The sequence below is a fragment of the Homo sapiens genome, chromosome 11 (assembly GCF_000001405.40).
Source record: "Homo sapiens chromosome 11, GRCh38.p14 Primary Assembly".
Taxonomy (NCBI): domain Eukaryota; kingdom Metazoa; phylum Chordata; class Mammalia; order Primates; family Hominidae; genus Homo; species Homo sapiens.
The window spans coordinates 90,242,042-90,258,061 of record NC_000011.10 but is presented as its reverse complement, the minus strand read 5'-3'; the positions used below and the strand labels follow the sequence as shown (position 1 = coordinate 90,258,061).

The 16,020-nt window shown below is 36.1% G+C and overlaps 1 long non-coding RNA gene across 1 annotated transcript in view; it reads right to left on the bottom strand.

The window, feature by feature from the left end:
* Positions 1 to 6,830, bottom strand: part of DISC1FP1 (DISC1 fusion partner 1) — a 663,821-nt gene extending 656,991 nt beyond the window's left edge. Inside the window, exon 1 of the long non-coding RNA NR_104190.1 lies at positions 6,745 to 6,830. This is a non-coding gene — a long non-coding RNA (DISC1 fusion partner 1). The remainder of the gene's footprint in view (positions 1 to 6,744) is intronic.
* Between the last annotated feature and the right edge of the window lie 9,190 nt (positions 6,831 to 16,020).

The following is a 16,020-nucleotide window of genomic DNA, read 5'->3' as shown; positions in this document are numbered from 1 at the left end:
TATATACCCAAGATTATACACTTGTACTCAATGCCAGGTCTTGTTACTCCAGGTCCTGGCTCTTCTCATTACATGGGTTTTTTTTCTTACAATTTTAGTGCACAGCTACTTTTATTGTTTTTCCCAATTTGACTCTTTTATATTGCTAAAAAGTCACACAACAAAAATTTAACAAGATTTTAGGAGTACCATTGGGAAACTTAAGCAGAAACAAAAATTAAATAAACATTTTCTTAATGGTAAATTAATATATATTTTGCTTTTAATAATAAGAATAAAGACATCAGCAGGATGGAGGAAAAGCTTTTAGACCTTGTATAACCATAAGAGCAACAATTAGACAGCTATCCACAAACGGAAATACCTCCGGAAGAGCTCAGGAGTTCAGTTAAGAAGGTGCAGCAACGTGGTGGGGAAGAAAAATGAGAATAATCTCACAGAAAGGGTAGAAAGAACAGTTTTATTTTTGCCTGCATCATCCCATCCCCCAGGTCCACACAGCTCAGTACTGAAAAGGAGCCCCGAGTCCATAAGTTTCCTTCATGAGGGAAAAGGAGAGCCTTTTCAGAGCACTGCCTGAAGGACCACTTTGGTTTTATCCCACCCAGGTTACTAAGGAGATAGGAATAGTCAAGACATCTGGAGACAGCTAGGAACAAAGAAGGTTGTGCACTATAAGTGTCAGCCATACTGCAGGTGCCACTGTGGTCCCCAGTGGTGTGCTCTACAGAGGATCCCGGGAGACTTCACAGCTGAGGACATCAACAACCATCACAGCCACTGAGACTCACTATGTTCACCATCAAAGACCTCACAATGTGAGCTGTCAAGGACCCCAGAAGTGTGCTCCACAGAGAAGCCAATAGTTCTCACCACTGAGAAACCCAACAGCCAGCACAGCTGCCACAGACCCCTACATCTTTTGCCACAAAGGATCCTGCAGTTTTTCGCCTCTGCAGAGCCCCGCTACCTGAGCTGCTGTCCCCACTCCTCTACCAGGGCCACCCCAGTCAGCACACTACAAGTGTCCTAGCCTTGGACAGAGTACAGCCACCCCATATGCTCCACAACCAACCCCAGTCCCATCAGTAGTCTCATCTATACCACCATGTACATATCTACTGTCAACCCGAACCACCAGTCCTCATTGCCTTGCGCACACACACACACTGTGAGTCCAGGACCCACAGCCAAGCATACATATGACCAGCTCTGACCAATATTGCCAACCCTCACTTTTATATGCGCATACACCACAGCCACAGTCCTCGCAAGAGCTTATGCACATGCAGACAGCCCTGATGCCAGCTGCTGGTCCCACCATAGCATATACATCTGCAGCAGACCCCTGCAACCACAATCACAGGGCATCAGCTCCAACCTCTGTAGCCTTGTGCACTCACCACTGATTTTGCCACTGTAACCATGCCAACAATCAGCCCTAACCCCTCTGACTGATCCCAGCCCTTGACACTGGGTGCATACTACAGCTAGTTCCCATCACTGTGCACACACTGCACATACCAGTGCCTACTGCCACATACTTGCCCACTGCTGCCCCTGGTTTTCACCAACATGCATGTTCATCACTGACCCTCACTTGCTGCGACCTGCCTCAGCCCCGGTCTAAGTATACCCACAACTAGAATTGGAGGCACTGCTGAGGACTCCAACAGCTCTCAAAGCCACTATAGACCTAGTACAGTGGGTCTCTTGCCACTGAGGACCACGAAGTTGCTAATGCCACTGACACTAACGGCCTGAGCCCCCTAGCCACCATGCCTTCCTAAACGTAGAATCACTGCACATTCCCACACTTGGCACTCCATGCCATCAGACTTGCTACCATAGTATGCTCCATCATACACCCCATAGTCACCACCCCACATCTCCTTCCTACCTCTACCTTCCTATAAGTGAAGGTCTTTCCTTACCAAAGCTAGTCCATAAAATCTGGAAGAAGTAATTACTTATTCAAATGTACAGACACCTACGCAGAGCTACAAGAATCATGAAGAATCAGGAAAACATGATAACATGAAAGGAACACCATGAATTTCCAGTAGGTACACGAAAAATAACATAAAATGAATCAAACCAAACCACCAAAAATGTCATCAAATACCAAAACAACAAAATAGGAAAAAAAAAATAAAAAGAACTGCAAGACAAAAAGGAAACAATGAACAAAATGGCAACAGCAAGTCCTTACATATCAATGATCATTTTAAATGTAAATGAATAAACTCCCAATCAAAATGAATAAAAATACAATATCCAGCAATATACAATCTACATGAAACTAATGTTAGATATAAGGACATACAGAGACTAAAAGTAAATGGCTGGGAAAAGGTAGTCCACGCAAATTGTAAGAAAAAGAGATGTGAGTGGCTATACATGTATCAAACAACGTAGTCTTTTAGTCAAAAAATGTCACAAGACAAAGAAGGTTGTTATGTAATTATAAAAAACAATTCAACAGGAAGACACAACAATTATAAATATATGGGCATTCAGCATTAGAGCACATAAATATATTAAATAAACATGCACAGAGCCAAAGGGAGAAATTGACAATAATACAATAATAATAGGAAACTTCAATACTCTCACTTTCAATAATGGATAAAACATCTAGGCAGAATTCCAATAAGGAAACAGCTAATTTAAACAAAACTATACACCAAAGAGACCTAACAGATATACACAGACCTTCTTCCCCAACAGCAGCAGAATACAAATTATTCTCAAGCACACATAGGACATTAACCTAAATAGGTCATATGTTAGATCACAAAACAAGTCAACAAGTTTTAAAAGATTTAAACCATATCAGGTGTCTTCTCAGATCACAGTGGAATGAAATTAGAAATAACAAAAACAAAACTAGAAAATTCTCAAACACGTGGAAATTAAACCACAGCTTTTGAACAACCACTGGGCAAAATAGAAAATCAAATGGGGAATTTTTTAAATATCTTGAGACAAAAATGAAAACACAATTTATTTAAACTTATGAAATTCAGCAAAAGCCATATACTAAGAGGGAAGTTCATTGTGTTAAATGCCTACATCAAAAATGAAATATCTTAACTAAACAACCTAACTTTATAACTCAAGGAACAAACTAAACACAAAGGCAACAGGAGGAAGAAAATAATAATGATCAGAGCAGAAAGAAAGAAAATATAAGAGAGAGAAACAATAGAAAAAATAATATTACAGAGTTGGTTTTTTTAAAGATAAAATTAACAAACTTTTAGCTAAACTAAGAAAAAAGGAAAGAAAACTCAAATTATAAAACACAGAAATGAAAAAGGAGGCTTTACAATTAATGCCACAGAAATAAAAATGATATTAAACAACTATGATGAATAATTATACACCAACAAATTTGACAATCTAAAAGAAATAAGCAATAGAAATATAAAACCTACTAATGCTGAACTAAGAACTAATAGAAAGGCTGAGTAGACCAATAACAAACAAGAAGATTGAATCAGTAATAAAAAACCTTCCAACAAGGAAAAGCTGAGGACGAGAAGGCTTCATGAGTGAATTCTACCAAATATTCAAAGAACTAATACAAACCCTTCTTAAACTCTTGCAAAAAAATAGAAGAGATAATACTCTCAAGCTCATTTTATGAGGCTAACAACACAATTCTAAAGCCAGAAAAAATCAACACCAAAAAAGAAAACTGGAGGCCAACATTCTCAACGGCCATAAATGTGAAAATCTTCAATGAAATATTAGCAAAAGAATTAAAATAATCATATATCATGACTAAGCAGATTTTATCCCTGACATACAAGGACAGTTCAACATGTAAGAACCGATCAATGTGATATACTAAATTAACAGAAGAATAAACTACATAATCTCAGTAGATGCAAGAAAAAATATTGGACCAAATTCAACATTAAGATAAAAACTATCAACAAAACAGATATGAAAGAAACTTTCCTCAGCACAATAAATGACATATATGAAAGAGGCACAGCTAACATAATAATCAACGGGGAAAATCTGAAAGCTTTTTCTCTAAGATCTGTAAGAAGGCAAGAATGCCAACTCTCACCACAGCTATTCAGCATAGTACTGGAAGTCCTAGCCAGAGCAATCAGGCAAGAAGAAGAAGAAAAAATAAGTATCCAAATCGAAAGGGAAAAAGAAAAATCATCTTTTTCTGCAGATGATATGATCATATACCTGGAAATCCCTAGACTCTACACAAAACACTATTATAACTAACTTAAAAAGTCAATAAAATTACAGGATACAAAGTTAACATACAAAAATCAGTGGTGTTTCTATACACTAAAAACAAACTTTCCAAAAGGAAAACCAAGAAACAAGCTCATTTAAATTAGCAACAATAACAACAAGGAAATACTTAGAAATTAAGAAATAAAAGACCTGTACCCTGAAAACTGTAAAACATTACCAAAAGAAATTTTTCAAAAGACACAAATAGAAAGACGTTCCGTGTTCATGGATTGGAAAAATTAAAATTGTTAAAATGTTCACACTACCCAAAGCAATCTACAGATTCAATGCCATCCTTATCAAAATCCCAATGGCAATTTATACAGAAATAGAAAAAACAATTCTAAAATTCGCATGGAACTACAAAAGACCCTGAATAGCCAAAGCAATTTTAAGAAGAATAAAGCTAGAAGCATCACACTGCTTGACTTCAAATCATATTACAAAGCTATAGTAATCAAAACAGTACAGTATTGTCATAAAAACAAACATCTAAATCAGTGGAAAAGACTAGAGAGCCCAGAAATAAGCCCATACATTTATGGTCAATGTATCTTCTACTAGGGTGCCAAGAACACATAATGGGTATAGTTTATTAAGAAAGAAAAAATTGGTGTTTGGAAAACTGGTTATCCACATGCAAAAAAAAAAAATTAAATTGAACCCCTATCACGCACGTACAAAAACCAATCTATAATGAATTAGAGACTTAAACAACATGCAACTGTAAAACTCCTAGAAGAAAACATAGGGAAAAAGCTTTTTGACAGTGGTCTTGGCAATATGTTTTTGGATATGGCAACAAAAGCAAAAATAGATATCCAGTATTACATGAAATTAAAAAGTTCTGCACAGCAAAGGAAGCAATCACCTAAATCAAAAGGCAACTGATGGAATTGGAAAAAGCATTTGCAAACCATTCACCTAATAAGAAGTTAATACCCAAAATATATAAAGAACTTATACAACTCAGTACCAAAAGTATAAATAACTGAATTAAAAATTCGGCAAAGTACTTAAATAAACACGTATCAAAAGAAGAAATTCAGATGGTGAACAGGCATATGAAAAAGTACTCAACATCTCTAATCATCAGGGAAATGCAAATCAAACCACCATAAAATATCACCTTACACCTTTAGGATGACTATTATTAAAAAGACAAAAGATAACAAACGTTGATGAGGCTGTGGAGAAAAGAGAATGTTTTTCCCCTGTCTTTTCAAAGGGACTTTCTCATAGAAACAGTTCATGATTACTAACGCCCCCTCTTTGCGTCTCAACACAGCAATCAGGTTCCCACCCTGCCATGCTACTGAAGCTGTTCTGGCAGAGGTCACATCCAGTCTAATTGCCAAATCCAGTCAATAGTTCTTAGTTCTTGTTTCGGTTCTTAATTGTGCAGCATTTGACAATAAATTATCCATTCCGAAAAGTCTTTCAATTCTTGTCTTACATGACCTCATTCTCTAGATTCTTATTTAGCTTCCTGGCCATACTTTTTCAGTCTTACTTGCTGTGTCCTCCACCTCCCTCTTCCTGAGTTACTGTTAAGTGAATTGCAGTTCAAAAACAGGATGCACATTATGGCACTATTTATGATGTATTATGTATACATAAATATGTTACTGGATAGAGTTGTCCAGGTTCTTGCCCTGTTGAACAAAGAATTGAACAAAATGCAGAAACAAAGTGACAAAAGAACAGAGCAAGGAAAGACAAAGCAACCGGAGAATGCAGCAAGGAAAGCACAGATTTATTGACAACAATTCACAGAGTGGGAGCCGGCTGTAGCAAGCAGATCAAGAGCCTCTCCAATTAGGGTTTTTATAAAGCCAAAATAACTTGGCAACACCCCTAGGTGCCCTTTAGTGGCCTCCAGTTGGTTATACCCTATGAAAGATGGGCCTGCAACCCAACAGAGGCTGAAATGGAAACTTCTGTCTTGTAATCACAGGAGTGAAGACGTGGCCTGTATGCTGCCTAATCTTGCCTAGAACTGGCTGCACCTGCTATTCCTTTGCTTAGAACTGGCTGCACCTGCTATTCCTTTGCCTAGAACTGGCTGCACCTGCTATTCCTTTGCCTAGAACGGGCTGCACCTGCTATTCTTTGCTTACTTATGCCTCAACCCTTGTCTATCCTAATTCCCTATTTTTCTGCCTCAGATATATTATACATAGATATTTAGAGTGTACACATAAAAGTTGTGTTTATGTGTAAGATAAGTGTGAGATATCAATATGTATATTATATATGTGTATGTGTATATATGATACATGTGTGTCAAAATGTTAGGCAATGGAAATAATCTGTGTGAACTTCACTTTAATCATTTCTGTAGCTCTTGAATATGTTTGTAATTATTATTTATAACTCTAAGAATCAATGTTATTACTCCGTTTTCAGACTGCTGTAAAGAAATACCCGAGACTGGGTAATTTATGAAGAAAAGAGATGTAATTAACTCACAGTTCTGCAGGCAAAACAGGAAGCATGACTGGGAGGCCTCAGGAAAAATATTCGTGGTGGAAAGCGAAGGGGAAATAAGCACTTCTTTACCATGGCAGGACAGGAAAGAGACCGGGAGATGGAGGAAGTGCTACACGCTTTCAAACAACCAGATCTCGTGAGAACTCACTAACTCTCACAAGTACAGCAAGAGAGAAGTCCGCCACATGATTGAATCACCTCCCATCAGGCCCCTCCCCCAACACGTGGTAATTATAATTCCAGATGAGATTTGGGTGGGAACATAAGAGCCAAACCATATAAGTCAATAATAAATTACCCACTAATGCTTATAGCTCTTTAATTGTACTTATATGCTGATGATTTCTAAACTGCCCTCTCAAGCCCAGGTATTTTCCCTGAGTTCCAGACCTGGATGATCCATAGTCGAATTTACCCTTAAGCCTTATCGTTTTGTGCCTTCACAGTCCCCAAACCATTCTCTAGGTAATTGCTTTCTTGCAGCTATATCTTTACAACTTTATAATATTCAAAATGGAAAGCTTCGTGAATTATTTGTGTTTCTATTGCTAGTGCCCATGATACATACATAGTGCCTTGTAAAGAGAACATGGTTACTGATACTGGTTGAGTGAATAAACTAAGTGGATTATTCTTTTTTTTTTTTTTTTTTTTTTTTGAGACGGAGTCTTGCTCTGTTGCCCAGGCTGGAGTGCAGTGGTGCGAGATCAGCTCACTGCAAGCTCTGCCTCCCGGGTTCACGCCATTCTCCTGCCTCAGCCTCCCGAGTAGCTGGGACTACAGGCGCCCGCCACCAGGCCCGGCTAATTTTTTGTTTTTGTATTTTTAGTAGAGGCGGGGTTTCACCGTGTTAGCCAGGATGGTCTGATCTCTGCCCGCCTCCGCCTCCCAAAGTGCTGGGATTACAGGCGTGAGCCACCGCGCCCGTCCGGATTATTCTTTATTCCTTGTGGTTTAAGGAATTATCAAAGTATTTTTAGTTAGGGAGTAACATGTTCAGATTTCTAATTTAAGATTAATCTGGATGTATATTAAAAAATGAAATAAGGCCGGGCGCGGTGGCCTGTAATCCCAGCACTTTGAGAGGCCGAGGCAGGTGGACCACTTGAGGTCAGGAACTCGAGACCAACTTGGCCAACATGGTGAAACGCCGTCTGTACTAAAAATACAAAAATTAGCCAGGAGTAGTGGCGCGGGCCCCAACTACTCAGGAGGCTGAGGCAGGAAAATCGCTTGAACCCGGGAGGCAGAGGTTGCAATGAGCCGAGATCCCGCCACTGCACTCCAGCCTGGGCGGGAGAGAGACTGCTGCATCACAGGAAAAAAAAAAAAAAAAAAGTGGAGAGTTTAGAAGGGAGAAGGGAGAAGGCAAGTATAAAAAGTCGCAGAAACTCTATGCACCAATGATAGAACCTTTCTGATGAAGTTTTACCTCTAAGGAACAACCACAAAAAAAAATTGCATTTCTTACACATTAGCTTTTTAAGATACACATTATTTGGTTTAATGACAGGTTGTTTACTGATTCTAAAATAAATCTTTTCTGCCATCTTGTGGACAGAAACAATATTTATTTATCTTTTTATACCAATGTTTAAACTTGGTAGTATTTACTGAGCCTATAATTATCCATAATGTTATTTATTATTTTAAAAGAAACTTCAACTTAACCCTTAAAAATCAAAAAGCATTTCTTCTTCTGCTTTCATGCCAACTTACTTTTAACTCTACATGGACTTTTTATGTGTATATATTTAGTCATACTGTTTTGTTAATTGTAAGATAAATATTTCTAAACTTACTGAAATTTGCTTTTGTTCAATTTTGCTCCAAATTCTATAGGCTAAAGAAAAACCTCAGTGATGATTTCATTGTGAATATACCTATTGAGCTCCTTTCCTATTATTGAGTTCTTATATATTAATTTATTCGATTTAACAAGTATCTACTGAGTACCTACCTTATGTCAGTCATTGCTCTAAACACGGAGGATATAATCGTTTTAAAAAGAGACAAAAATTTCTTCCTTCCAGGAGTTCACATTTTAGTTAGATATATGGAGTGGATTTATATGTCCTGATGTTCCTTAAAAACTTATTTCCCGCTATAACAAACTGATTTGGAAGGAAGATATAGGAGAAATTCTCTCTAAAATAGACTTTTTTGAGAAATATGGTCTGGAATATTCCAAAGTTAGGGTCACGCATATAAAATTTTGTAGAAACTACAAGTCTTAGTAACTTTCTGTATTGATAGGATTATAGAAAAGTATACTACAAATATACAAAAATTCAGTCAAAGAGTTCAAAACTGTAGGTAGTTTATTTAAATCTGAACAAAGCAATTCATTTAGCACTTGTATGCGCCATTTAAAAAACTAAAGTTTAATAAAAATTGAAATGGTATAGAAAAGCTGGGATGTTAGATAATAATGGAAATGTAATTTTTTTGGAAATGCCAGCCATCTTTGCACAAAAAAAATTCTTCTTCCTAATCAACAACGGTTCCGAACACTCTGCCTGTAAACTTGTTTTTGTTATTAGTAGAGCATTTAGTCCATCAAATTCTGAAATATGATTAATTTCATTTTCTGAACCTTTAATCTAAAAAAAAAAGATTCTCAGTAAAAATGCTTATGCTTCAAAATATTTCAGTTTGTCTCATGCCTAGGTCCTCTCCAAAAGCAGAGCTGAATACAAAGGCTTGTAAGCAGATAGTTTTTTTTTTTATTGTTTGTTGTTAAATTATCTCAAAGAAGAGAAGTGGGAAACTGGGAAGAGACGGAAAGGAAGGAAGAAAACTAAACCTTAGAGTACACTGTTGCACTAATTATTGCAGTATTACTTGGGGCTCAGTCTTTCTAAGAAGCCTTGTAGAAATCATCTCAGGTGTATTTTCCACTTGAGACAGAATCAGGGAGAATTTACACACCAGTTCCCATTCCTAAGTTGGACAAGTTTTGCACTATTTTGTGTTTACTCCTCTCACTTCCAGGTGTTTTTTTTGTGTGTGTGTGAGATGGAGTCTCGCTCTGTCGCCCAGGCTGGAGTGCAGTGGCGCCATCTCGGCTCACTGCAAGCTCCGCCTCCCGGGTTCACGCCATTCTCCTGCCTCAGCCTCCCGAGTAGCTGGGACTACAGGCCCCCGCCAACACGCATGGGTAATTTTTTGTATTTTTTAGTAGAGACGGGATTTCACTGTGTTAGCCAGGATGCTCTCCATCTCCTGACCCCGTGATCCGCCCGCCTCTGCCTCCCAAAGTGCTGGGATACTTTTCAGCTCTTTTATGAAGCTATTAAAACCAATTAAGGAAATTTTAAAAGTTAAAAAAAAATAAGATTTTATCATAAGAAAGTGTATTTCACAATTTGGATATAAAAATTTAATAAATTACTTCCATCAAGATTACTGTTTATAGAGGAAACTCAAATATGAATAACATTAGAAAAGTTGTATTCCTCAAATAACTGTGTGTATGGTTGCATGAGTGCACACAGGCATGTGCTAAAGAGTAAAAATATATATTTATGTTTTTTAATAACAACTTTGTCATCTCTAGTTCCTCCTACTCTTTGTATCCATTTAAGTTTTTTCCTTGCTTTGTAGGGATAAAGTTCAATGTATTTTTATTTGTAATCTTTATTTTTAAAAATCACAACTCTCTAAGAATTTCCAAAGTTGAAGGTTTTCTGGCAATGTAAATTTATTAACTGTTTTGTTTAAAGATGTTCAGCTCCTTCTGAAAAGAAAATGCAACTGAATTTTGGAAGAATCATTTATAAAATATGCAATACCATTTTGTTGATTTACAAAATAGTGAAATAGAGTAGTAGTGTTTATGTTGATTTACAAAGTAGTGAAATAAATTTAGTACATTCCTAAAAATTTGATTGATGCTAGGAAGAAAGAGAAGAAAACGTCCAGCCATACTGAGGTTTTGTTTGTTTGTTTTTCAGGAAGGGAAGGAATTCAACATAGGCTTCATCACAAAAAAAGTTCAGTTTAGTCATTCTATGGTATACAAAAATATTTGTAAATTCTGACAGAGTTATATTTTAAATAGTACACTATCATAGTTTAACTAAACAAAATTATAATGCACCAACACTAATCTCAAGTATATTTCTGCTTCATAAATTTCTTAATTTCGTAACATTGTACCATCCTGCTGTGCTCCAACAAAATTAGTATTCATATTATATTCATATTCATAAAACACTTTTATTTTCAATGTAAAATTACTTAAGTGAATTTGTAATAGCATTCACCATATCTCAGATGTACAACCTTTACAGAAAGCAATACAAAAAACAAAATAATAGTGAAGCAACATTTTAAAAAATGTCTAGAAGTATATAAAGGATTTTATATCAAGCTCTCCTTCACATTTCAGGCCTTTGGAAAAAGCTATTTTAAACATGTAAGAACTCAAGGAATATTATTTTCATAGGCTATTTCTGAGGACTCCACTAGAGTACAAGCCTTATATGACCAAAAGAATGACTGAGGAAACTGCAGCCAAAAGATGGATGGCAACCAGTGAACATATTTATTAAATATATTTGTTATAAATGAATAAATAAATTTAGATCAATTTAATATATACTTATAAATTTAGGTCAATTTAATATATACATATATTAAATAATTTATATAATAAATATATTTAAACTATAAATGCATAATAAAGCTGGGCTTAAGGGTGGAAGACTATTATACAAATGCTACATTTACTGACTAATATGGCTTTGCTCTGTTCCCACCCAAATCTCACCGTGAATTGTAATAATCCCCACATGTCAAAGGTGGGGCAAGTGGAGATAATTGAATCATGGGGGCAGTTTCCCCCATACTGTTCTTGTGGTAGTGAATAAGTCTCACGAGATCTGATGGTTTTATAAATGGGAGTTCCCCTGCACAAGTTCTCTTGCCTGCCATCATGTAAGCGGTGACTTTGCTCCTCATTCACTTTCAGCCATGATGGTGAGGCCTCCACAGCCATGTGGAAGTGCGAGTCAATTAAACCTCTTTCCTTTATAAATTACCCAGTCTCACGTATGTCTTTATTAGCAGCATGAGAACAGACTAATACACTGACAAAGTAAAAAAAAAATTAGAGAAGATGGAAGAAAGAAAAACAATGTAATAATCTCATTGATTGTCCTGTAGAAAGCAGTTAAAGGTCACTCAGTTAAAGCTGACAAACTGAACAGTAGAAGCCCAAGTAAGAAAAGAAAGAGGTAATTATATAAAGATATTAATACACAGAAAACCACTGAAACAAAAATGCAAAAGTTCCTATATACCAAAATAAAGACAATTAAAATAAACAAAATAAAACAAAACTTAGTTGACATCATTTGTTGCAGTCTTCTATTTAAATCTCTTTTATCTTTGTGGATTTATATACTTTTTTTTATTCCTACACTATAATTTTGGTGAAATCTGAGGAGAAAATGGCAATAAATGTATGTGTTCAATATGACATGGCTTACCAAAATAAAGTCTTTTTTTAAGCCCTGAGGTTGGAACTTCCTGCTGTATGTAGGTCATCGGGTTAGGTCTGTAACTAATCCTACATGGTATTCCAGATTCACAACTTATCATGAAGGAAGGTGAAAGGTGACTGCTCATCGCTGGATATGCTATGTCTCTGGCTTGGGAGGCTGGATGGATGATGGTACATGAATTGGTTGTTTACCTATTTCTATTCAGCTTCCAATGGTCCTTCTCTGCAAATAAGAGTTGCAAGTTCTTTGTCTAGTTAACACAGTCCACCACAATCTGTATCTAATTTGATTATTTAATCTAATTTTATGCATAAAATTTTTCTGCTATAATGTTTGCTTGTTTTTTTTTTTGAGACGGAGTCTCACTGTGGTGCCCAGGCTGGAGTGCAATGGCACTCCGCCTCCTGGGTTCAAGCCATTCTCCTGCCTCAGCCTCCCGAGTAGCTGGGATTACAGGCACCCACCACCCATCCCTCCCCAGCTAATTTTTGTATTTTTAGTAGAGATGGGATTTCACCATGTTGGTCAGGCTGGTCTTGAACTCCTGACCTCAGGGGATCCACCTGCTTCGGCATTCCAAAATGCTGGGATTACAGATGTGAGCCACCGCCCCCAGCCTTTCTGCTGTAATATTTAAGAGGTGTGTTGCCACTGGAAATTTCAAAATATTTAAATAATCTAGGCCTCAGATTCCCGTGATATGGAAATAATAATATGGAAACGTACATAAAACATAAACATACTGCTTTATGAATCATAAAGTGAACATCCATGATCTAAAGAAATGGAATATGCCAGTGCCTCAGAATCATTCCTCTTTCCTACCACAATCTCTCACCTCCCCATAAGTAACCATAGCCTGTTTTTTTGTAGTAATAATTTCTTAAATTTTCTATATGGGTTTACCATGATAGTATGTATTCTTAAATTTAATGGTTGCCTTTTTTCTGAACTTTATGTAAATGTAATTATGCTGAATGCATTTTTTTCTTTAGCTTTTTTTACTCAACATTATACTTGTGAAATTCACCAATTTTTGTTGCGTGTATCTGTAATTCATTTGTTCTTAATTTTGTATAGTATTACATTGTATGGTTATACCAGAATTTATGCATGCCCTTTATAGTTAATTAATGCTTAGATTATTTCCAGTGTTTGATTTTATAAATAATGCTGTTTTGAACATCTTTGTACATATTTCCTGGGTGTCTTTGTGTGTGCATTAATATACATGTAAAGGTGTAGCTGGGTCTGGAAAAGGCTCATCTTCATCATTATGAGAAAGTGCCAAAATTTGACAAAGTATTTTTACCAATTAACCTGAACCAGTAGTTGTACTTTCTTGGAAACACTTAAAGTACAATATTTTCAACTTTAGCCAAACATAAATGTATGGTGGTATCTTAAAGGACATTTTTTCCAACTTATTAATAATGAGACAAGCATCTGATCATATGTTTGATGGTGATTAAAATTTTATTTCCCCTACTGATTTCTATTACTGTTATGTAAATGTTCTTTGTACAGTGTTGATACAAATGTCTATCAGTTACAAATAATTTAGCTCACTCCGTAGTTTGTTTTTTTAGAGTCTCATCCATTGATGAAAAAGTTCTTAATTGCAGTATCATACTTTGTATATTACTTAGTGATTTTTGTTTTCTTTATTCTGTTTCAAAAATCATTCTCCAGTGAAATGTTCTTGTATGTCATCTTTCAGAAGTTTGTTTTTCGTTTTATTTTGTTTTGTTTTTACTTTCATATTTGTAATCCAATAAGAATCCTTTTTAGGTATGTGGCAAGAGGTATAGGTAATAGTTTACTCTTTTTTACATATGATTAATTAACCCAGCAAAACTTTTTGAACAGTTCATCTCTTTTACTACTGCTCTGCTGTGCCGCCTTTACCATGAATAGCATTTCCATGTAACCAATGTGGTGGAAATGGAGATGTGTCATTAAGATTTTCCCTTCAAGGACTGTTGCTACAGAGCACTATACAATCTCTGTCAGTTGTATCAGGTTACAATTAGCTTCAGCTGCAGATAGCCACCTTACATAATAGGATACATTACCAGGTTGTTTCACAAGCAATGAGTGATTGTCATGTTGATATAAAGACCTGACCATTTCACTTCACCACAGGACAGTATTTATATTTTTCAGAGCTCCCCATGGGATTGGCAAGATAATGTTGGGCCTGCATCATAGTTTGAAATCTCCATCTACCCAATCCTGTTTCCACCTCCTTCCTTCTACAGATATTGATTCCTGTAAATATCCTGTATGCCAAGCATGTCTCAATGTCTGCTTCCACAAAGCCCAACCTGAGACAATTCGTACCATTAGTGGTTTGAAAAAGCATTCAAAATCTCCTGTGACATTGATTCTAACTAAGACAGAAGAAGAGAAGCGAGATTTACTTTATTTCCCAAAACAAAAACGAACAGACAAAATGCATGGAACAACAGTTCACAAGACAATGGACATTAGGCAATAAATGACAGTGATCTCTGAGAGATAAGACACAAATGAGATAAGTAATACAATAACCCTAGCTTACAGCCTAGAGAAAGTTTCAAGTTTACAACACAGAGGAACTTAGGCACGGTAGTGGAACGGTCTTCCTGAGTCAAAGAGATAGAGCTGGAGTTCCAAGGAGGCCAAGGTAGATAGAATTTGCAAGGCAGAGTACTGAAAGATAGAGGGCTGCACAGAGTAAGAATTCCAGGGACCTACAGAGTCCCACTTGAGGAGGTGCTGCGTACTGAGCAGCACATGAATCTGAGAAAACTAATCAAAGATGGGAAAAGCATCATCCGAAAAGATTAGAGAAAACCCAAGAGATCATACAACGTGACAATATTTTGGTTCCCATCTGTCAGAGTTAACCTTACAATCCATGAGACGTGAGCTAGAGTACTCTGAAGGTTTTTGTCTCATTAGAAGGCAAAAATACCCACAGATTAACTGTTGCTCTTGTTCTCCTTTTCCCTAAAAAAGCTTAAAAGGTATATCCAAATAATAAAATGTTTAAGTAATTTAACTGCAAGGCAGAACAGATACTCAGCACCCACCAGGTAAAATTCACAATGTTAGGAAGTAAAATTTTAAATAGGTATGTAGAGAAGAAGGAAAATGTGTTCAATAATGAGAAAAAAAATCAAACAACTTAAATTAAACCAGAGATAGCACAGATAATATAATAGGCTAAGACATTAAAAGAGTTACTATAGCTCTTTTATAGCACTATACCACTTGTTCAAAAAACTAAATCAAAGATAAACATGTTAATTAGACACATATACTTTTTAAAAACTTCTACAGTCGAAGACTACGATGTAAAATATTGCATGAGATTAATGATGAATTAGACATGGTAGAATAAAAGACTAATAATTAGTATCAACAGAAATCATTGAAAATAAAACAGAGGGAAAAACAAACAAAAAAAAGTAGTGGACAGAACATCAGTAGCAGTGGGAGAACTTCAAAATCCTGATATATACAATACTGGAGACCTCAAAGGAAATGGAAAACCAGAAAAGATGTTTGAAAAAACAATGGCCAACTTTTTTCCAAATGTGATTAAAACTATAAACATGAAGATCCAAGTATCTCAATCAACCTTGAGCACAAGAAATATGAAGAAAACTACAGCAAGTTTTGTACATCATAATCAAGTTTCTCAAAGCCAGTAATAAAAATAAAATCTTAAAAGCAGCAAAAAAAAAAAAAAAGACAC